Here is a 20,146-nt window from a genome sequence, read left to right on the forward strand (position 1 = left end):
CCACACTAAGTTTTTCCGATATGGCGTCCAGATTTTATTTCCCCTAATAATTACACCCCCTGTTTTCAGGCTAGGCATTCTCCCTCCTTTCTTGTGTTTACACCTTTCAAATATTTGCAGATTGTTATCCTGTCACCCTCTTAGTCACCGCTTAGCTGAGCTGTACAAATTTAGCACCTTTTATCTTCCCTTTAAAGGCAGGTCTCCACGCCCCTGAGTCATTTTCCCCTGCTCTCTTTAAGTGTGCTCCAGTTTTCTGCATTTCCATGTGGCCACATAACTTTCCTAGAATTGAACATAGGTCATGAGTGAGAATTGTTTTCCTCCTTTGGCATGTCAGAAGCTAAACATTTCTGCTATGCTCCAGCCTCAGGTCTCTCTGACATAGCTGGTCAGTGTTGACCACTTCAACTCTGTAGTTAAACCACGTTCTCTAAATGTGCCAATTTAAAGACCAGTGGGGTAAAAGGGTGTAGCTATGCTATACTTTGTTTAATCCTTGAAGTGTTATATAACCATGGGAAAGTGGGATGTATGTAGTTATGGATTCTGTTGGCCCCTTTCCTGGTATTTGCATAAAACACCTCTGTTCTCCAGGTGTGTCAGACTAAACCTCATCTCAGCTCTGCGCCCTGACAGTTCATCAACCATCTCTTTCTCTGTGTGTTTACGTTTTTCAGAACTATTTTTCACTAATATTCATTCAACATTTATTGAGCGTCTCCAATGCCACTGTGTGCTACATAGTATGTTAAGTGCTGGAAAGATTAAAATCTGAATATGACACAGTGCCTGCCCTAAGATGCACTGTTTTTGTTATAGTTTTAGTTTTAGTTTGGTTGAAAGTACCAGATCCTCACAGATTGGCTTACAGTGTCAGTGAGGGGAGAGAGCAGAGGAATATCCATGAAAATCTAATAGGAGCCTAGGTAGGGTCAGGTGTCACAGATCCTGGAACCTGAGGTGATTCTGAGTCTGAGACTGCTCCAGGGACCTCACTGTAGATCTCCAGTGTTAATGTCAGTTCGTCCCCTCTGCTTATTGCCTCCTTCCTCTGGCTCCTGCGGGGATTGTGTTTTAAACACTGCTCAGTTCAAATTCCAGAAGGAGACTCTTATTGGTTCACCTGGCATCTGCCATTTCTATTTGAATAGAGCTGTTTTTCCTATTGCTGGCCTGACTGCACATTTGCTACCCTTGAAGCTGCTACAGCACCACTCCCTCCCTCTCTGCCATTCCCCACCTTCTGCACTGACTTCCCATTCCCAGCTTGTGGTGTGCGGAGAGAACAGAGGTCATGTGCTAAAAAGCATAGCTGCCCGAGGCTGTCTCCTTAGTGAGGGATGTGTCCTGTTAAGCCCCGTGATTGAGTTGTCCACTACATTCTGCCAATAGCTTCCTAGCCATACATGCACTTCTAGCCCGGGCTAGAGTGCAGTGGTACAATCTCAGCTCACTGCAACCTCCACTTCTGGAATTCAAGTGGTTCTCCTGCCTCAGCCTCCTGAGTAGCTGGCCCTACAGGCGCACACCACCACACCCTGCCAATTTTTGTATTTTTAGTAGAGGCGGGGTTTCACCATCTTGGCCAGGCTGGTCTCAAACTCCTGACCTCAAGTGATCCGCCTGCCTTGGCCTCCCAGAGTGCTGGGATTACAGGCTTCAGCCACTGTGCCCGGCCATGTACTATTTCTTAACATTATGCAACATATAGGCCAAATGGCAAATCCAGTCACCAATAACATACCTTTTACAATAGTAGAGTAAAATAATCTTTCCTAGCTGGTAACTAACTTCATGAGCACAAAGTGTTTTCATCATTGAATCCTCATCTTCCACAACAATCCTCATCTTCCTGGCCCAGAGTAGACATTGACAAGCATTAGTTCAATGGAGAGTAGAGGTCTGCTAGATGAGCTGGTGGATTTTTCAGTGTACCCCGTGGACAGAAGGCAGGTTCTGCATGCCTCCTGTGCCACTGTGATGTCTGATGCAGTAGTGAGAACACAGCGGGCATGCAGTAGACACCGTTGACTAATCCTTCAAACTGTTTTTTGTTTCCACTTGAGTTTTGTCTCCTTCAGCTAATGCCTGGTCTCTTAGTGGTGGAATAAGTGCCACTGGGAAGCTGTCACATACTTCCAGCTAAGGCCAATTTGTCACACTTCCCTTAGCTCCCACTGCCCAATAAAGGAAAAAGTGAACACATTCTGAGTCCTGAGACTTAGTTATCATAAAACTCGAAAAAGAGTGTAAAATACTCAGAGCGATACATAAGTTTCACATAGCCATCAATAGAATCTCTTACAGAGCCCATTGTCTTGTCATTAACAAGAATGTGTACTTCTTGTTCCAAAGCTGACTGACCAGAGTATTTGTGTTAATTGACCTAGTTAGTCAATGTCTCTAAATGTATAATTTTTTTAATAGAATGATTGCTCCATAGCCCAGCATTTTGTTGGATATTTATACTCCATGAGTCAAGGCTTGGGTGAGGAATCTCAAAAGGGTATAACCAAAATGGTAAGATTTTGTGTCCAGAGAAGGCCTTGCATATCCTTCATTTTATAGACAGATGAGGCCTGGATAAGTTTAATATTCTATCAGTGGCAGAGCAGAACCCAGAATCATGATGTGCTGATGGCTAGCAATGAATTTTCTCTTCCTAAACTATACAGAGTCAGGCAGAAACCTCTTTTTACTTGATTTTATTTCCTTTTGTTTTGTTTTGTTTTGTTTTGTTTCAAATAGCCATGGCCAACCATTCATATCCCAGAAAGTCTAGAAAAGGTATGAAAAATAATGAGTTTTTGCTTATAGGCAGATGGACCTGTAGAGTTTGAAAGAGGTCAGGAGCAGCAGCCACATGGAGCAGGAGGTGGGGCAGGCATTTGTCTTACCTGCCTCTCCTGTGCCTGCCCTTGTGGAAGTCAGCTGAGTCCCCCCATGGGGGATCTGTCTTTGTTCTGGCACACCCCATGATAGAGAAGGAAAATGCTCAGGAATTTTTGGGATTTTTTTTTAAGTGTAGTGTTTTGTCTTCTTTTGTGTTTATTAAAACAAAATAGTTTGTTTCTTAAAGGCTTGTGTCAGAGGTAAGCTTGGCACTTCTCTTGCACCTGTGGCATTTGAGGCACAGCTGAGTTAATATATCTTTATCAGCAGGCAGCACTGCACTGGTATGTTATCAGAAAAGACAGCTATTGGTGGTAACATGCAGGATCCAGCCAGGCACTTTCTCAACTGGCTGGGGAGAACTTCTGCAGCTCCAGTGATATCTCACTTCATATTTACAGTCTGAGGCCCTGTGTGGCTTGGGAGCGCTCCATTGCTGCCTGTCAGCCTGCCCAGCTGAGCATCAGCAGCCTTGGGTTTGCTTTCTTAGAACCCAACTTTCTTTCCCTTCATCTGTTTTCTTTAACTTTTATTTTTAACGTCCATTTTATTGCATCACCAGCCCAGCAGTGCAGGCATTGCTTGAGGAAAGGTGCAGCATGGATTAGGTTGACTTGCTCCCTGAGCTCTTGGGAGAGGAGGGCACAGCATAATAACTCTGCTCGCTGCCAGCATGTGGCTTCATCTGGCTTTCAGCAGCAACGACAACTGACTTTTTGGCTCAGAATGTTACCATTTGTGTGGTCTCCTCTCTACCAGTGGACAGCATATTTTTTGCTCTGTTCCTTGGTCCCTTAGTACACAAAAGCAAGTCTAGAAACTGGATAAACCCTCAGTTGGAGCACTTTTTTAACTCTGCAAGAAAGCCATCAGGACCTGCCCCGTCCTTCCATCCTTCTGTCTTTACACCTCAGTCAATACCAGTGTTTTTCAAACTGGGTATTTGTCCCACTAGAGGTTTTAAATCAATTCAGTGTCATAGCCGTTTTGTTTTTTTCCTTAATGAAATGGTGAACAGAAGAGAGACTGTCAGTATAACATATACTGACATATATAACTAACATATATAGTCAAGATTAACCATTGTTTTGTGGAAACGTAATAATTGCTAAGCTGGCCTCCAATAAAAATAACCCCCCAAATAAATAAATGAATACATAAATACTGCTCTGCAAAAGGTAATATCAAGATGGCAGAGAAGGAAACCTCAGGAAATGGTCTTCCTGCCTAAATAATTGCACTGGCAGAATCTGCCTGATGTGACTGTTTTGAGACTCTGGAATCTATTGAAGGCTTCTTACTTCCATTGGTTGTCTACAGGTGTTTGTACCCATATGTAAGTGTGTATGTTGGTCACAGTAAGAATAAAAAGTTTGAAAAACGCCCATCTACAGTATCTTCTATCTGTAGATGTAGCTCGGCTCGGCAAATTTCTAATACTCAGACATTCAGATATCATAAAGCCTGTCCTGCTCTCCTGGCCCTGACTTTGTACCTTAGTCTGGGAATAGATTCTGCCTCTGCCTGATGGGAATGGATGTGAATGGATGTTTACTTATTTCCACTTGAAAAAGGGCACAGAAGCACCCTACTTCGGCTTCCTACTCTTGTCGTGCTAGGGCTTAACTGCTGGGAAGTGGACTAGCAACGTAACAAAGGCCCTTCTTTGCCTTTGTGTCTACATGGAGTGACTGGGATTTGGTTTTCACAGGCCCAGAGGACTATCTCATGAAAAATGTTTTGAATATATTTCTGCTTGATTTGTTTAACACCCTGGCCCACTGAGCCATCATGTTTTCTCAATTTAATCACTTGGTGGTCTCCAGGATTCAGGGGAGCAACTGCAATCTCTGAAGCTTCACCAACCTGGTGAGATTTCAGAATACCAAGAGAGTGACAAAGGAGTAGAGTGGTACTCAGTAAGTGAAGCTCGGAAATCTTTTATGCCCTCATAGTGAAAATTCAACCCCTTAGTTCCTGCTGCCCAGTGCAGTACCCTAGCTACATCCCAGTTCTAGTCCCCAGTTCATAGCAGCCCCACCCAACAGCACCCCAGTCCTGTCCTGCCCAAATGGCTGCTAAGAGTCAGAAACAAACTGAACACTTGTTTTAGCATTATGCCTGTTTCTGCAACAATGCTTTTTCTGTGGTTATGTGGCAAGATTGTTCAATGGAATTGTTTATTTTTCTCTCTGATGATTTTGTTCTTGCTTAGTTTGCAGATATAAAAAGAAAAGTGTTTTTGGCTATTGATGTAAAAAACATGGGCCATCTTTCATTCCATTTTTCTCTAGCCTCATCTCTCCCTGTAGGGTTAATCTCAGGCTCCTTGGCTCATGAGTTTATTGCTGTCTTTTACAAAAATACGTTCCACCCCTCCCTTGCAGGCCGGCACTGAAGTGCCAGGAATGAGGCAGCCCTGGTGATCTTCTTTGCCATGTGACACTTGGGTGGGGCCTTCATCTGTCCCATCTTTTCAAGGGTGGCAGAATGGTCCTTGCTGTCACCTCAAGCTGCTGTCCTGTGGCAGTCTTTCTCCTGGCCTAGCATTTTATTTGATGTGGTGTATTCCATTTGTAAGGCCTTGGGGCTCAGAGAGAAAGCTCCGTTCTTTATCTTCTGAAAGCCCAATATATAGCCTATTCCCTTTTTTCTGAGCTTTGTCACCTTGAATCAATGCCCTGGCCAGAAACATGAGCAGCACCTAGCTTTATTCATACACAGAGATGTACCTTCTATCCTAGCAACAGTGGGACCTTGTCTCCACCAAGCAGGTGTTTGCCATCACCGAGACACCCTGCTTCTGCTGCTCCTATGCCAGATCTCTTGTACGTTCCCTTGAGGCTGTTCGTAAATAAAAGGTAGCACCTCTTAGTTCTGCCTTACTGCAGCAGGAGAGACCACCAGTGATTCAGAGACACACATACTCCATGCATCCTCCCCCAGATCTTCATCATTTTCGTTTCCTATGTCTCTAGCCCAGTTCCACTTTTTGTGGAATTATGTCTGTAATTATATAGCGTCATAATTATAGCTACAGTGTGAATTTTTTTGAAATATTTGTAAGTCTCAGATATCAAAATGTAGCATATTTCATGGTCTGTCACAGATGACCACTGTTAGTGGTAAATATACTTGCAAAACTAACGGGTTGACTCAAAGAAAGAAAAGGCAGTCTCACTTGGTTAGTGAGCACTTTGTACAGAATCCTGTGGTTGGATACAAAAAAAGAGTATGAAGGATAGGATTCTGTCTTCAGGGACAGGTTGGTTGTGGGGGTCAAAGAGGATTTTGAGGTTTTGAGCATGGGAATTGCTAAGAGTGATAATGATGATACAGATAATATTAATAATAGGATATAGTAAACGTCTCCATGTGGCAGGCATCGTTCTAAATAATCTCTCCTAGTTCACACAGCAACCTTAAGAAGCGGATATATTATAATATCTGTTTTATAAGTAGGAAAACTGAGACTTTCTGAGTAATTTGGCTAAGGTCACACAGCTAATAAGTGATAGAGCTGGGATGTGAAACTGGGTTTCTTTGGCTCCAGGCACCTAATATTTCATCAGTATTCTGAGGTGTTTTGCTTTTTTTTCTGTCTCTCATTCTGAATGAAAAGCCGATGATACTATTGTCCAGAATACACCCAGAGTTGAGAGGGGAGGCTTATTTGAAGAGAAAAGTGACACTGAATTAACACTTTTGAATTTGGTGTAAAAGTCAGACAGCAAGGAGAAAATGTCCAGGAGTCAGTGAGAATGGCACTTAGGAGGCAGAATGGCTGGGATATCAGTAGGTGAGGGAGCCATTTCTGTAAGAGATGGCTCAAGCTGCGAGACTATGGGACCGTCAGTTGGAGCAGTGCAGGATGAGGAGTTCCTGCTCATCTTACTTGGAAGGCTCCTTTCGCCATGTGCTCTTGATAATTCCCAGATGCTGTGGCTGAGAGCTCCTATCCATTGGTGCTGCTGTGATAGTGTTGGTTTTTTCCACCTGGAGAGAACTAAACCCCTCCTCCACTTCTCCCATTACCTCTGTCTTCGTCTCAGATAGAATGGATGGAAGTTAGATGTAACGCCTGCTTCACTGGAGGTGTCAGGGGACCGTCCTTATTGGACAGCAAGCCTAGTGGGCACCTTTTCATCACAGATTCTACTTTTCTCCTGACACAGGCATTGAATGCCCCAGAGGAGCCCGAAACCTCCCAGGCTTGGTGCAGGAAGGAGAGCCCTTCAGCGAGGAAGCTACACTTTTCACCAAGGAACTGGTGCTGCAGCGAGAGGTAGGACATCTTCCTGTTGCTTCTTCTGTGAGGAGGGGTGACAAAATAAGGCTCCCTTGGTCTGCCATGTCAGAGATCAGTCTGTTGTTTTTTCCACTGCTCAGCCTTGCACATCCATAATCCATTCTTGTGTCTGCCCACATCTTATTTCCCTGAGCGCTGCTTCATTGGCCAGCCACCCCCAAATTGCTCCCCTCCACTGGTGGCCTGGGATGTGTGGTGGACACCAGGCCAGCCCAGCCAGACTCCTGATGCAGAGAGCTTACATCTTTGCATTCTTCCTCCTTGGTGTATTAGCCTGAGTTGCCTGTCTCCAGCTGGATTTAGAAGCTTGACTAACCCTGTCAGGGGCCAATTTTCTTTGAACATTTATTTGTATCTTTGAGTAATTGTATTTTCTGTAGCGGGTTTTCTGACTTAATTTAATTGTATTTCTGTTTCTGCCTGTTGGGCTGGCTCTTGCATGCAGGAGTTAGGATCTCAGCTGCTGTGGTGCCCTTCTACCTGCTAATTTTGCTCAAGCCTTCATCAACAGATCCATCTTCTTTCCAGGAGTATGCCAGCCATTTGTCCTGCTAGGTGGGCACAAGAAAGGAGCAGCAGGGAGGTGTGCTTGGCTCAGCCTTAGGATTTTTGAATCTGCCATTGTCCCCATTTCTTTTACAGTCATCTATAGGGTCCCTCCAGCTTTCATAATACTCACAGAGGTACAAGATTATAGGGTCCTAGAGGCTGTCTCTCTAATGAGTCTTCGTAGATCTTTGAGAGCAGATGCGTGGACTTCTTTAGGATGCTCAGTGATAAAAATACCTGTTTGTAAGCTTCAGCCTCTCAAGCTGATTTGAATTGCTAAGAAATACATGAGGCGTGAGAGAACAAGAGAACACGCCACTCCGAGATGCTTATGTTGGACTATCCTGGCCTTGAGAGAAGTGTTGGTTGCCACCTCTTTGATTCTTTACTGCTTGCCTTCTTATTTTGTAGAAGAAAGTGGAGTGGCCTAACAAATCCTGAATTCTCAGTTCCATTTCCCAAACATCAGCTACAACAATCTGGGTATCACATCTGCTTTGTTGGCTATCTGTACAATGATTGGGGGATTGGGGGGCTTAATTGTATCATCAGATTCACATTGCCCTCCATTTTATTTTTTGTGAAGATGCATGCAAAGTAAAAATCCTTATATTGACATGGAAGGTGCTTCCCCCTCTCCCGTTTTGTAGTTACACAATGCTGCCTGAATTTTTATCAATTAAAAATAACCCCGTGCAAGAGAAGTATTTCAAAAATCCAAACACTCCAGTTGTCTATAAGTGCCTGTTGCAGTTTTTGAAGTGGGCCAGGGATTAAGTGGATGGGGCAGATATTGTAGAATTTCCCTCTAATTTTGGATAATGAACTGCAAAGTAACTATGTTGGTAAAAGCAGGTGAGTCTGTTCAAATTCATAACTTAAAGACATTGTGAAGGATGCAGCAACAGACTTTTGTTTGTTGTGCTTTGGATGGAGGAAGGAAATCCCTTCATTAGATTGCCCAAGACATCGGTTGATGGCATTCTCATCATTTACTGTCTAAGTCAAATTTCTCACCATCATTGTCTTCCTACTGTTTCACATCTCCTAAAGTTTCTTTCCCATTCTTTTTCAACTGTCTTTTTCCCAACCACCTTTCTTCCTGATCATGTTTCTGGCCCACTGATGAGATCCAAAAGTACAAGGGGATCAAAGAGAATACTGATCACTAAAAGGAGTGAGTGGCCCAAAACTCTTTTACTCTCCCATGGTTATTGCGACCTTACCTTTGTCTTATATTTGCTAATACCTGACTGTTGAAAAAGATTAAAATTTTCCCCAGTTTTCTTTGGGGAAACTCTTTGGTGCTCTTGGTATGTAATTGAGTTTGCAGATTCTTAGTCTAACCCAGAGTTGATCTTTCTTGATTATAGTGGCCCCATCTTTCATATCCCTAGGTTGAGGATCTCAATAAGAACCTTTCTGCATTTTCTTAGCTACTTATATGATTACTTGGGTTGGCTGTTTTGAAAGTTCTTTACACTGAGAAAATGTGAGTATGTCCTAAACTATGAATAATTCAAAAATCTGACTAAAAGATCCAGTAATACCCTACTGTCCTGAACATTTCCTTTATATTATATATGAAAACTGTTTTCTGAACAGTGTAGGAATGGAGAGGTTTGTGTTTTGTTACAGGCTTATTCATTTACTTTTACCTATGTAGTACCTCCATTTTTATTTCATAAGTTGTCTTGGGGAATGCTTCTCTTTGTCCTACTCCCCCAACCCCACAAAGATCTAGCAGAAGAGGAAAGTCCCAGTACATTGGTACTCCTGGATGCAGAGGTCCTTCCCGCCCTCAGCAGAAGTCCTGAGCAATGCATGGATGCCTGAATGTGGGCCCACGACCTCCCACCTCATGCAGCTCTTACCTTCCAGGCAGCCTCTATCTTGCCCACAGTGCACGACAGTGCAGGAACTCTCCTGGAGCTGAGCCACCGCTGGGATGGCCGCAGTTGAACTGGTTTTTTGTGCCTTTTACCTGTTCCCTTGATCATGAGTTTTAGCTCAGATAACCAGGTATTTTGAAGACGTGATTGTCCTTGGCCCTGCCCCATCCCTTCCCTTTAAAGTTTTAAATTTTTTTCATGTCTTTTCTTTGGCCAGAATTTCTCTATCCCCTGCATGCCTTCCTCGGTTACCATAAATCTGCATTATCCTAGGAAAGATGAAGCCCACAGATTGTACGATTTCAGAGTACTTCCTGGGCCCCTGTGTGATCCGACAGAGGCCTGGTCATCAAGTTGGACTTCCCTATGTGAAACCATAAACTAACCTGAGGAAGATACTGAGGGGAGAGGGGCTGTGTAACGGTGACTGCCTCTAGGCCAGCCTTCTGCCAGGCAGAGAACAGGAAGCTGGCATGCAGGGTGTCTGGCACTGGTAAAATGACACCATGTTTGTAAGTGCATTGTCCTGGCTTTTGGTGGGCCGTGCAGGAGTTCCTGCCTGAATTATAGTCTTTCCATCTCATATCTTCATGTGGAGCCCTCAAGCTTTAGACAAGTCTTTTATCTCCGTTTTCAGGTGGCTCCCATTATCTTGAGACCTCATAATGCTGCTTTCCTTAAATTTGTTTTACACTGACGCTAGTCAGCACAGAGCTACTCACATTTCTGGCCACCACTCGGCTCCATTATCTTGACTTCTCTCCTGCCCTCTTACGTTGCATTTCTTCTTTTACACCACTGTTTTACATGTTGCTCCTCCTTAGCCATTGGTTCCTGTTGGCTTTTGTTCTTTTACCTGAGTTGGAAATCTGGGAAGACAATTCCAACTCAGTGGTCTGGGCATTCTGGTGGTGCTGCCAACCCCAGGGCAGGAAGAACAGTGAGTGAGATACTGTGCCATTACCTGCTTCTCCAGCCTTGAAGCCCAAAGCAGCCAAATAACTCTCAAATGACGATCACTTTTACTCAAAAAAAAAAAAAAAAAAAAAAAAAAAAAAAAAAAACAGTAAATTCAGTCTTTCTTTCTAGCCTGACTCCGCTGGTATTTAGGACAGGTGGGCAAATCTGTGCCACTGCCAGTTTTTACAATAAAGTTTCATTGAAACACAGCCATGCTAACTCTGTTTTTTCTTGTTGTTTGATTGTTTGAAACGGAGTCTCGCTCTGTCGCCCAGGCTGGAGTGCAGTGGCGCGATCTCAGCTCACTGCAACCTCTGCCTTCTGGGTTCAAGCAATTCTCCTGCCTCAGCCTCCCAAGTAGCTGGGATTACAGGCCTGCACCACCATGCTCGGCTAATTTTTTTTTTTGTTTTTGTATTTTTAGTAGAGACGGGGTTTCACCATATTGGCCAGGCTGGTCTCGAACTCCTGACCTTGTGATCTGCCTACCTCAGCCTCCCAAAGTGCTGGGATTACAGGCATGAGCCAACCGCGCCTGGCCTGGCCATGCTAATTCTTTCATGTATTGTCTATAACTGCTTTCATACTATAACAGCCGAGTTGTGTAGTTACGACAGAGGCTATATGGCTTGCAAAGCCTAAACTATTTACGATCTGTTCCTTTACCAAAAAGTTTGCTGACTACTGCTGCATATGGTATGCTGAATTGGGTTTAAATGGCTTGTAATAGCCCTGAAAATTTAAGTTGGCTCTCCTGTCCCCTGCCGTTGAGGCTGGACTGCATGAGATTATTGTATCTGTTGGCTGTAGCTGTGACTATGAGCTGAGTGCCATGTCCCATTGGATAGCATGTACTTGGTGACCCCTGACCCACATACAGCTGACTCTTTAAGGCAGTTCCCTGCCACACAGTCAAGGACAGGAAGATCTGGTGTGATTTCCCAGATGGGGAGTTGTGCCTATTACTAGCATCCCCCAGAAGTAGTGAGAGATAGCATTAGCTAATGGGTAAATAACTGGCTTAAAAGTGTAAACTCCTAGGTTTTCACACTCCAGTTTTTATGTGGTCCTGGATATGTGATTCTTTTCTGCCTTGGCATTCCTGTCTAAAACACTGATCTAGCAATCCCAAGCCACCCTTTCCTTTTTGCGGCCCTTGTTCTGAATAAAACAGTGATTTCATGTCTCTTCTCACTTTCTTCCAGAAGGCAGCTAGCCAGCACATACTCACTGACCAGTTGCTGCCTGCACAGCAGTGTTTTCACTGCTGTGTTGGAGAAACCCGAAGTCTTAAAGGGCCATAAGGTATTATTTAAAGAGATCAGTGTCATAGTTTAACTGTCTTCACAGTTCCAGGCTGTAGGAGGTACAGTTTCTGAGGACAGGGGCAATGTATGTGGGTTTGGTGATCATTTCTAAGGCCTTTTTCGATGACCCCTTTGTCCTTTCTGACACATTAGAATTGCTCTTTGCTGCTGCCTGAAAAATGATGTCCTCATGCTGGACAGCCCCAGCTGAAAACTCAGGCTGCTGCCTTGACCTATTTCCCTTCTCCCTGCTGGCATTAAAAGGGAGGATGCCCCCGGGGAGCTCATTCTGCAGGCTGCAGTGGCCAGGGCAGAGTCCTGGGTTTCCTCTCTCTCCCTTACTCCCTGCTTTAAAAAAAAAAAAAAGGTACAGAAAAACATTATAAGCAACTGTTGCCATTGGGGAAAAAAAAGTATTTACGTTTCAGGGGAATGTGGCCTCAGCCATGAATATTGGTGTGTATTTATGAAGGGGTGTATGTCTGGGAAATAAAACTTAGAATACAAGAAAAAGTGATTTCATTTCTTTCATCGTAGCTCCAAGTGTGCTGTATCGTGTCTGAAATAGATAAACTGCTCTAAGCAGTTTCAAGTTTATCTCAATCTCTGTCCTTCTTGTGCCCTCGGTCCTTTCCCTACATCACCCCACAAGCGCTGTGGTGTATGCTCTCTTAGCCCTTCCCATTCCATCTCTCTGCGCAGGCTCCTTCCCTGTTGAGGAGACCCACAAGAGAGGGAACACTAGCAAAGTTATATCTCTGGATCAAAGGAATGAGGACAGTTCAAGCCACAGGAAATTCCAAGAAAGTAATGGACGCCCAGTGAGGGTGAATCCAGTGCAACCTACTCTCCTGACTCTCCCTGACGGCCATGTCGCTTGGGAACCCTCTCCGAGCCACAAATAATTACCTGCTGGAAAAGCAAGCAGGCTGTCCGGCAATGTTTCATTTATTTTCACAAAGCCCCCTTATTCTAGATTATCTCAGCCACTGCCCAGGAAAAAGGGAACATGTTATGGTCAGCTTTCTAAATAGCTCTCTCATCCCACAAGCTTTTAAAGGCTGTTTGGGGGCTAAGGCCTTTATCACCTCCCCACACATGCTTGACAGTTCATCACCCACCAGTGGTCTTTAATTTCAAGCAGTTTATTCTTAGTTAAGGGCCATATTCTTTGAAGAAGTCTCAGGTAAGAAAAACTCCTGTCTTAATAGCGATCAAACCTTAATTTTATATAGCATTTTCTCATTTTAAAAGTGTTTTCATGCATAATGTTTCATTTTAATCTCACAGCAAACCTATAAGAAAAATATTAACCCTGTCTTACAGTTCAGGACACCAAAATGCACAGTAACTTGCCTCTGTTCACAGAGCTAATGGTAAGACATATACTAAAACTCAAATATCTGCATTCCAAATCAAATGCTTTTTCTCCTCAAATCATGCCAGTTTTGCTTTTAGAAGGCAATAATTCTTTTAGCCATATTTTACCATTTTTCAACCATAGAATATCTGGAACTAGTTAAAGGAATAGTAGAGGACTTCCCTGAAGGTCCCACATTGACTAAGAGTCAGTCTTCTATAGGGCATGGATTCTGATCCTGAATGCTTCCAAGACTGCAGAGGAATTTGAAGAATTTGCTATGCCCATGCCTCCCCTAAATATTTACTCTGCTCTTCCCACAGCTCCTGTGTCTGTTGTCTGATTCCTGCTTCATCTGCTGTTTGATTTTTGTGGGCCTTACTTTTCCCATTTGCTCATGTATGTCTATATTCCTATATCTAATGTTTCTTAAAAGACAAATCTGACTGTGTAGGTGCATTTGTTTAAAAAATATAACTCCCCATTGCCTCTGGGATAAAGTCTTATCTCAGTTTACATATATTCTTGATAACCTCTCCAACTTTATGTCTCACCACCCCCACTCACTTCGTAATTCGTGCCTTATCAGAATGGACCTGTTATACTGGCAGTTCACCATATATACCATTACATTTTGTTTCTCCCATCTCTCAGGTAGACTTACACTTTCGGCCCAGCACATCAGTCATCGCCCTTGCTTGCTTTCCTATTCACTCCTGTTCTGGAAGGTGCACCACCTTTTCTTGGAAGGCTTCCCTTGCTCTCCCAGGCTAGATGAGATGTCCTTCCATCAGTTCCCACAGCACCCTGTGCATGTATCTGTTGTGCACTTACCAATAGTATACAAGGGATCTATGACCCAAGTCTCTCCCCACTAGCTTGTAAGCTCCTCACAGACAGGAACCATGTTTTGTCTTTGTACTCCAGTGCCTAGTATATAAGAGATACTCAATAAATAAATATTTGTCAAATCAACTAATTGATTCCTTGTGACCTAATTCTAGAGAATGGGAAGAAGGCCTGTTATTTTGTTGTCCTTTATGGTTCTTTAGGAAAGCTCTCCAAGCTTGGCATTTGTCAGGGTGGGAGGAAAACTGTTGAAGTATTAAGACTGGACACATGGCTGCTAATTCATCAGCTTATCATTGAAAAAGTCCATAGCCAAAACCTGACTGTGCACTTACTATAGGACCCTGACCTGCCTGGGTCTCCCTGTCTCTCCAGCCAGTATATTTAAAGGTAATGAGATAATGATGAGTGTTTTGAAAAATGTTTAGTGTTCAAATAGAAACCATTCGTGTCCCTTCACTCTCTGAACATAGTCTGCAAATCTCTCCCTCTCTGGTATGTTTCTGTTTTGTGGATTAGACTGCTAAATAAGCGAAGAGTTAATTTTGAAGTTCAGGTCAACAAATTCCTGTTTGGAGACGGGCTGTTCCTGAATACCAGGTTGTTATCTGTCTATTACAGCCCCTTCACTTCTGGGCTCCTGGCCCTTTGCGAAGTACTTCAGAAAGCCTAGAGAGAAGAGAGGGCCCTCAAATCCCATTCCAGCCCCTAAATGAAAGTGGCATCACAAGGAGAAAAGTGGAGGTAGAAATGTACCATGGGGGACGTTGCCCCATTGCCTTTCTTCCCCTGACTACTGGGCTTCCTCTATCAGCTTTTAACGCCTGGAAGTAGCTGAGTCTCCAGTCACTGGTGGCCTTCCCCAAGTGAGCTCAGCAGCATGTGCTAATAGGTGCCAATACTGTGCTGGCTCCAGTGGGATTCCTCTCTGCAAAGCTGCTGGCTTAGCTTGACTGTTTCCCTATTCCTCTCCTTAGAACTTTCATAGCCAGTCAAGCATAGAATTGCATCCATTCTTCTGAAATAGGTACTGTGCCTAATTTTTCATTGGCTTGGCCAAGATTCTGTTACCTGTAATTATGTCATATGGGCTGACTGGTGTAGGTTTGGTAGGCCTCACTGCTCTCCAGAGGCTAGTGTTCCTATCCCAGGATGGCTGTTGGGATTAGGAGTGGAATGAGGAATAGTTTAGGACCACAAGAGATTTGGCCTCCTTGGAACATGTAGGAAGGCCTCAAGGATGTAATTCTAGCCCAGGGAAGAAAATCCTTTTCAGCAGACGCTTCCCTTCCCTTCCCCTAGGGAATGTGTCCCTACTATAGTAAACTCTTCCTTAAGAGAGTTTTATGTTTTCTCTGTCAGATCAATTTGTTTTTCTTAATGTTGTTCCTATCAAAAAAAAAAAAAAGGAAGAAATACAGTCCTCAGACCTGACAGTTTCATTTTTCCCCCCAAGTAGAAGCAATAGAAACCTTAGCAGTTCCAAGACTCCTGGCACTCACTTTTCCTCTCCATCTTTAGGTCTAACCCAGCTCAGCCCAGAGTAAAGACATAAAAGCCTCACATGTGATTTCCTCTTGCATTTTTTCTGCTAGAAGGGTCCACAGTACTTACTTTATGCCTCATCTCAATTGAAGCTGGATGATGAGGATAGTGGGCAGTGATTGCAATTGGGGAATGCATGTACTGGATCACATAAGGTCATGAAAGTCCTTGAAACAGAGCCTTGCCAAGCAGAACCCTTGCCACTCATGGTATTCGATACAGTCTACCCATCTGACATGAAATGATATTCTTAATGAGCCATTCCTATGGAAGATAGCTATTGCCAGGCACATTCAGTCTCCTGGTCTCCCTCTCATAGCTATGTAGGGCCTATGACCTAGAATAAATGGAAAAATGTTATCAGGAGGAAGAGACTGCTGGACTCCCCTGAGAGGTAGGGTTTGTGCTAGGAGAGCTGGGTGCCATTTATTTCATTTTGATATATCAGGTGCTCCTAGTAACAATTCCTAGTTTCTCTTACCTCTGTAATCATCCTGAATAGTCACTGCTTCTTGAGCTTTGGTGAGTGTTCTCTAAAAAAAAAAAAAAAAAAAAAGGTGGAAGCTAATATTTTTAATAACAAAGGGCTGAAGAAAAGCAGCTCAGAATTTTTATTTTTCAGGTGAAATACCTATTGTGAAATCTGTTAACTTCCTTCTGGAAGCCTAATTTGGTAGTATCTACAGACAAGCAGATAATTTCTTGACAAACTAAAGATGACCTCACACAGACCTGCCCACTACTTGTTTTCAGAAGAACTTCTGAACCCAGAGCATTGGCCAACACCCATACAGACTTGAGTGTGAGCTTGCTTTGCTTTTGCTTCTTTTTTTTTTTTTTTTTGAGACAGGGTCTCACTCTGTCGCCCAGGCTGGAATGCAGTGGCACAGTCATGGCTCACTGTAGCCTCAACCTCCCAGGCTCAGGTGACCCTCCCACCTCAGCCTCTCAAGTAGGTAGGACTACAGGCCCGTGTCCCCATGCCCAGCTAATGTTTTGTTATTTTCTGTAGAGACAGGCTTTCACCATGTTGCCCAGGCTGGTCTCAAACTCTGGGCTCAAGAGATCTGCCTGCCTCAGCCTCCCACAGTGCTGGGATTACGGGCATGAGCCATTGCACCTGGCAAGTGAACTTTAATGTGGTATGTTTGGAGTGTCTTCAGGCTTCAGGCCTCCCTGTTCCGTTTGTCCTAAACATTGCAAGCCATGCCCATTGTCTGAATATCCCCTATGGAATTACATAATTCAACTCATATCTTTTTAGAACACAGCTCTTAATGTATAATAGCAAGGCTGCCTGAGCCACCAGCAGAGCACAAGCAGACTGTAGATGGCATTTTTTCTCCAGGTAATACTAACGTTGTGGTGTTTCACATGTGACTCGCCCAAGGACAGAGGGGCAACTGTTCTGGTGGATGAGCTGACCTTTACCCTGCCCTGTTCTTGCCATTAGCATGCCCACTCCCTGTGTCTGTTGCCAAGGACTTGAAGAGAACCTCCGTGTTCCAAACCTGGCTTTATTGATGAACTTTCCACTTGCTACTCCACCCGTGACGGTTTCTGGTCAGCTGCACTTAAATGGATTTTGAAAATGAAAGTGACCAATGGTCTGTTATGAAATGCTGCGGTGCATGAAATAAGATTATGAGCAAGCTTGAGAATTAAGAACAGAGATACCCTAACCTGGTCAAAACAACATGTTTCACATAGTGAGAAAGGAATAGCTCATTCTTAGTCTCTTCTTTAGGACATTTAAGGGCATCTTTTCCTTCTTAATGAAACTCTGTTAGCATGTGAAAAGTCAAACCTAGGTTCTCATTCCACTTTCACCATTTGCTGTCTGACCATGCACACATCCCTTAGCCTCTCTAAACCGAGGGCAATCTCAGTGCCTATTAGAATTTAATATGAACGCTATCCCTAGCATTGTGCAATGCAGCCATCCTGCTAAACCTAATTGCCTCACCTATGTAAGGAGGGTACCTTCTCACTAGGGTTACTGTGAAAATTAAGTGTATGTGTAAACTGTTCCTCACAACCCAAGATATTAAACACTCAGTGAATGGTAGCTTACAGCATCATTTTTATTATTAATAGAAATTCTCTCAGCCGGGCACAGTGGCTCACGCCTGTAATCCCAGCACTTTGGGAGGCCAAGGTGGGCCGATTACCTGAGATCGGGAGTTCAAGACCAACCTGACCAACATGGAGAAACCCCGTCTCTACTAAAAATACAAAATCAGCTGGGCATGGTGGCACATGCCTGTAATCCCAACTATTTGGGAGGCTGAGGCAGGAGAATCACTTGAACCCAGGAGGCGGAGGTTGCGGTGAGCCAAGATCGCACCACTGCACTCCAGTCTTGGCAACAAGAGCGAAACTCCATCTCAAAAACAAAAAAAAATAAAAGAAATTCTCTCAGGGCTTAACTGAAATTTAGGACTTGAACTTCAGTATGTACAAAACCAGAGTAGAGTTCTAGGCTGGATCTAGGTATGTGTGTTGTGAGCAGCATTCAGATTAGAATCAACAAAGAACAACCCTCCCAGTGCTCTTCACTCCCCCAGCCTGTCTAAGCCAGTGATGGCACATATGCATATGCTACCCCTATTCGGGTTGTCCACCCATGGCAGACATTGCCAGTCAGTCACCGCGCTGCTTTGGCTGAGGGCTCAGATCCTTCTCAAAACAGGGATCCTCGCTACTACTACCAGTTGAGAGGATTTGGCACTTAACGGAAACCTATTTTCCATCCTTGGTCTAAGTTTGCAAAGGATTATTTATTTAAGTACCCTCAGGACATCAGCCAGTCTTTTATTCTGTGAAGTAAAATAACATAAGGTCTCTTTGTCTCTGATTCCTCATGGTCCCACACATTAGGCAGTATTACATTCAGTGGAAAACCAAAGGTCTGGAGATAATGCCAGCAAGTCCTAACCTATGCAAGATGCCTTTTCTAGACTTGGCTATGGACTGATAAGGTGATCACCAAGGGAGGGGTGACACCAGGACTCCACACATACCTCATGGATGTCTAAGGAATAATGGTTTGACCATCTTTGCAGTGTTCTCCACTTGCCATAGGGGTATTTGGAGACTAATCTGCCAACAGTGAGGGCTCTCTGCTTTTTCTGTTGATGCAGGTCCTCTGTGACATTGTCACAGCAACTTGAAAATGAGGGATACGGGTATGAACTAACTAGATCCTGGCTGGTACAGGCTTCCTTATCCTCTGACAGAATAGCAGTGCTCCTTTGTGTCTCCATACTTTCCTACCATGACCACAACAATCCAGGATTGCCATAGATTTGTCCTTGACCTGCATTAAGTTGAAGAGTTGGAAGATAGATAGCACAGTGCCAGCAGAAGCACTAAAGAAAGAACTAGGTGGTAACACAGGCTGGGCACAGTGGCTCACACCTGTAATTCCAACACTTTGGAGGCCGAGGCAGGGGGATCACATGAGGCCAGGATTTCAAGACCAGCCTGGCCAACATGGCGAAACCTTGTCTCTAATGAAAATACAAAAGTTAGCCTGGTGTGATGGCACATCCCTGTAGTCCCAGCTACTCAGGAGGCTGAGGCCAAGAATTGGTGGCAGAGGTTGCAGTGAGCCGAAATCGTGCCACTGCACTCCAGCCTGGGCAACAGAGCCAAGACTCTCCAAAAAAAAGAAGAAAAAAATGAAAATGAAAAAGAAAAATCTAGGTGTTAAACAAGACTGAAAAGGATAGGAAAAGGCCTCCAAGAAGAAGCGTTTGGGTCACTGTAGCAAGAACAGGTACCTCTTGAACCGAGAATGAAAGAAGGAACTGGAAACTGCTTCACTGTGCTGTTTTCCTTTTCAGCTTAACATATGCCTTCCTCTTCTCCCCTTTCCCTTCTCTTGATGCAGTCGAATTCTTTTTAATGGTTACCAGAAAAGGATTTGGCATTGGGTGTACAGCTAGAGGTGGAAGATCATGCAAATAAGACCAACAGGTCCCTCCATTCCCCACCAGCAGCCTGCATGTGCCATTTCACTTCACACATCTCTATAATGCTTGCGGTGCTGGGGTGCCGTTACCTCTCCAGTTAAATAAATCTCAAACCACCGACCCAGGGTTTTCATAGCAGTGCTGCAGCCATATATGAGGAAATGCAACAAACAGTCCATTAGCACTGATTGGATATGGATTTTTGGCCTGGCCACCTGCCACTTGGTAATTTTAGAATAGGGTCACTTTTGGAATTGAAGATGCCTTGTGGGAGGGGACTGGTGTTTGCTAAATAGCTGTATCTTACCATCATGCCCTTTCACAGCCAAGCTCCCTACCTCTGGAGTGAGGGGCTGGTCTCGTGGCCTGCCTGGCAGAGAGGGCTAGAGCTCCTTCTTCATCAGCTTCCAGGGCTGCAGACGTGGCCATTTCCAAACACCCAGGGTGCACTTAACCACTTCCTCCTCCTAATCTCAGCATTTCCACTCTAACACATCAGCAGC

At 44.1% G+C, this 20,146-nt stretch overlaps 1 protein-coding gene and 1 long non-coding RNA gene across 3 annotated transcripts in view, besides 1 other annotated feature; both read left to right on the top strand.

Moving 5' to 3' along the window:
• SND1 (staphylococcal nuclease and tudor domain containing 1) overlaps window positions 1-20,146 on the top strand; it is a 440,400-nt gene that overhangs the window by 331,683 nt on the left and 88,571 nt on the right. For both annotated transcript variants that reach the window (NM_014390.4, XM_017011987.3), the window contains exon 16: window positions 7,071-7,180. In NM_014390.4, the coding sequence (NP_055205.2) occupies window positions 7,071-7,180 (110 nt within the window). The remainder of the gene's footprint in view (window positions 1-7,070; window positions 7,181-20,146) is intronic.
• On the top strand, window positions 13,633-16,201 carry SND1-IT1 (SND1 intronic transcript 1). Its single transcript, NR_027330.1, has one exon. It is a non-coding gene; the product is annotated as an SND1 intronic transcript 1 (long non-coding RNA).
• Window positions 16,337-16,496: an enhancer, noted in NCBI's record as "active region_26593". NCBI's record gives its function as "activates an Ori minimal core promoter by ATAC-STARR-seq in GM12878 lymphoblastoid cells {active_cell/tissue: GM12878}" and the evidence as "EXISTENCE:reporter gene assay evidence [ECO:0000049][PMID:35858748]".

The sequence above is a fragment of the Homo sapiens genome, chromosome 7 (assembly GCF_000001405.40).
Source record: "Homo sapiens chromosome 7, GRCh38.p14 Primary Assembly".
Classification (NCBI taxonomy): Eukaryota; Metazoa; Chordata; class Mammalia; order Primates; family Hominidae; genus Homo; species Homo sapiens.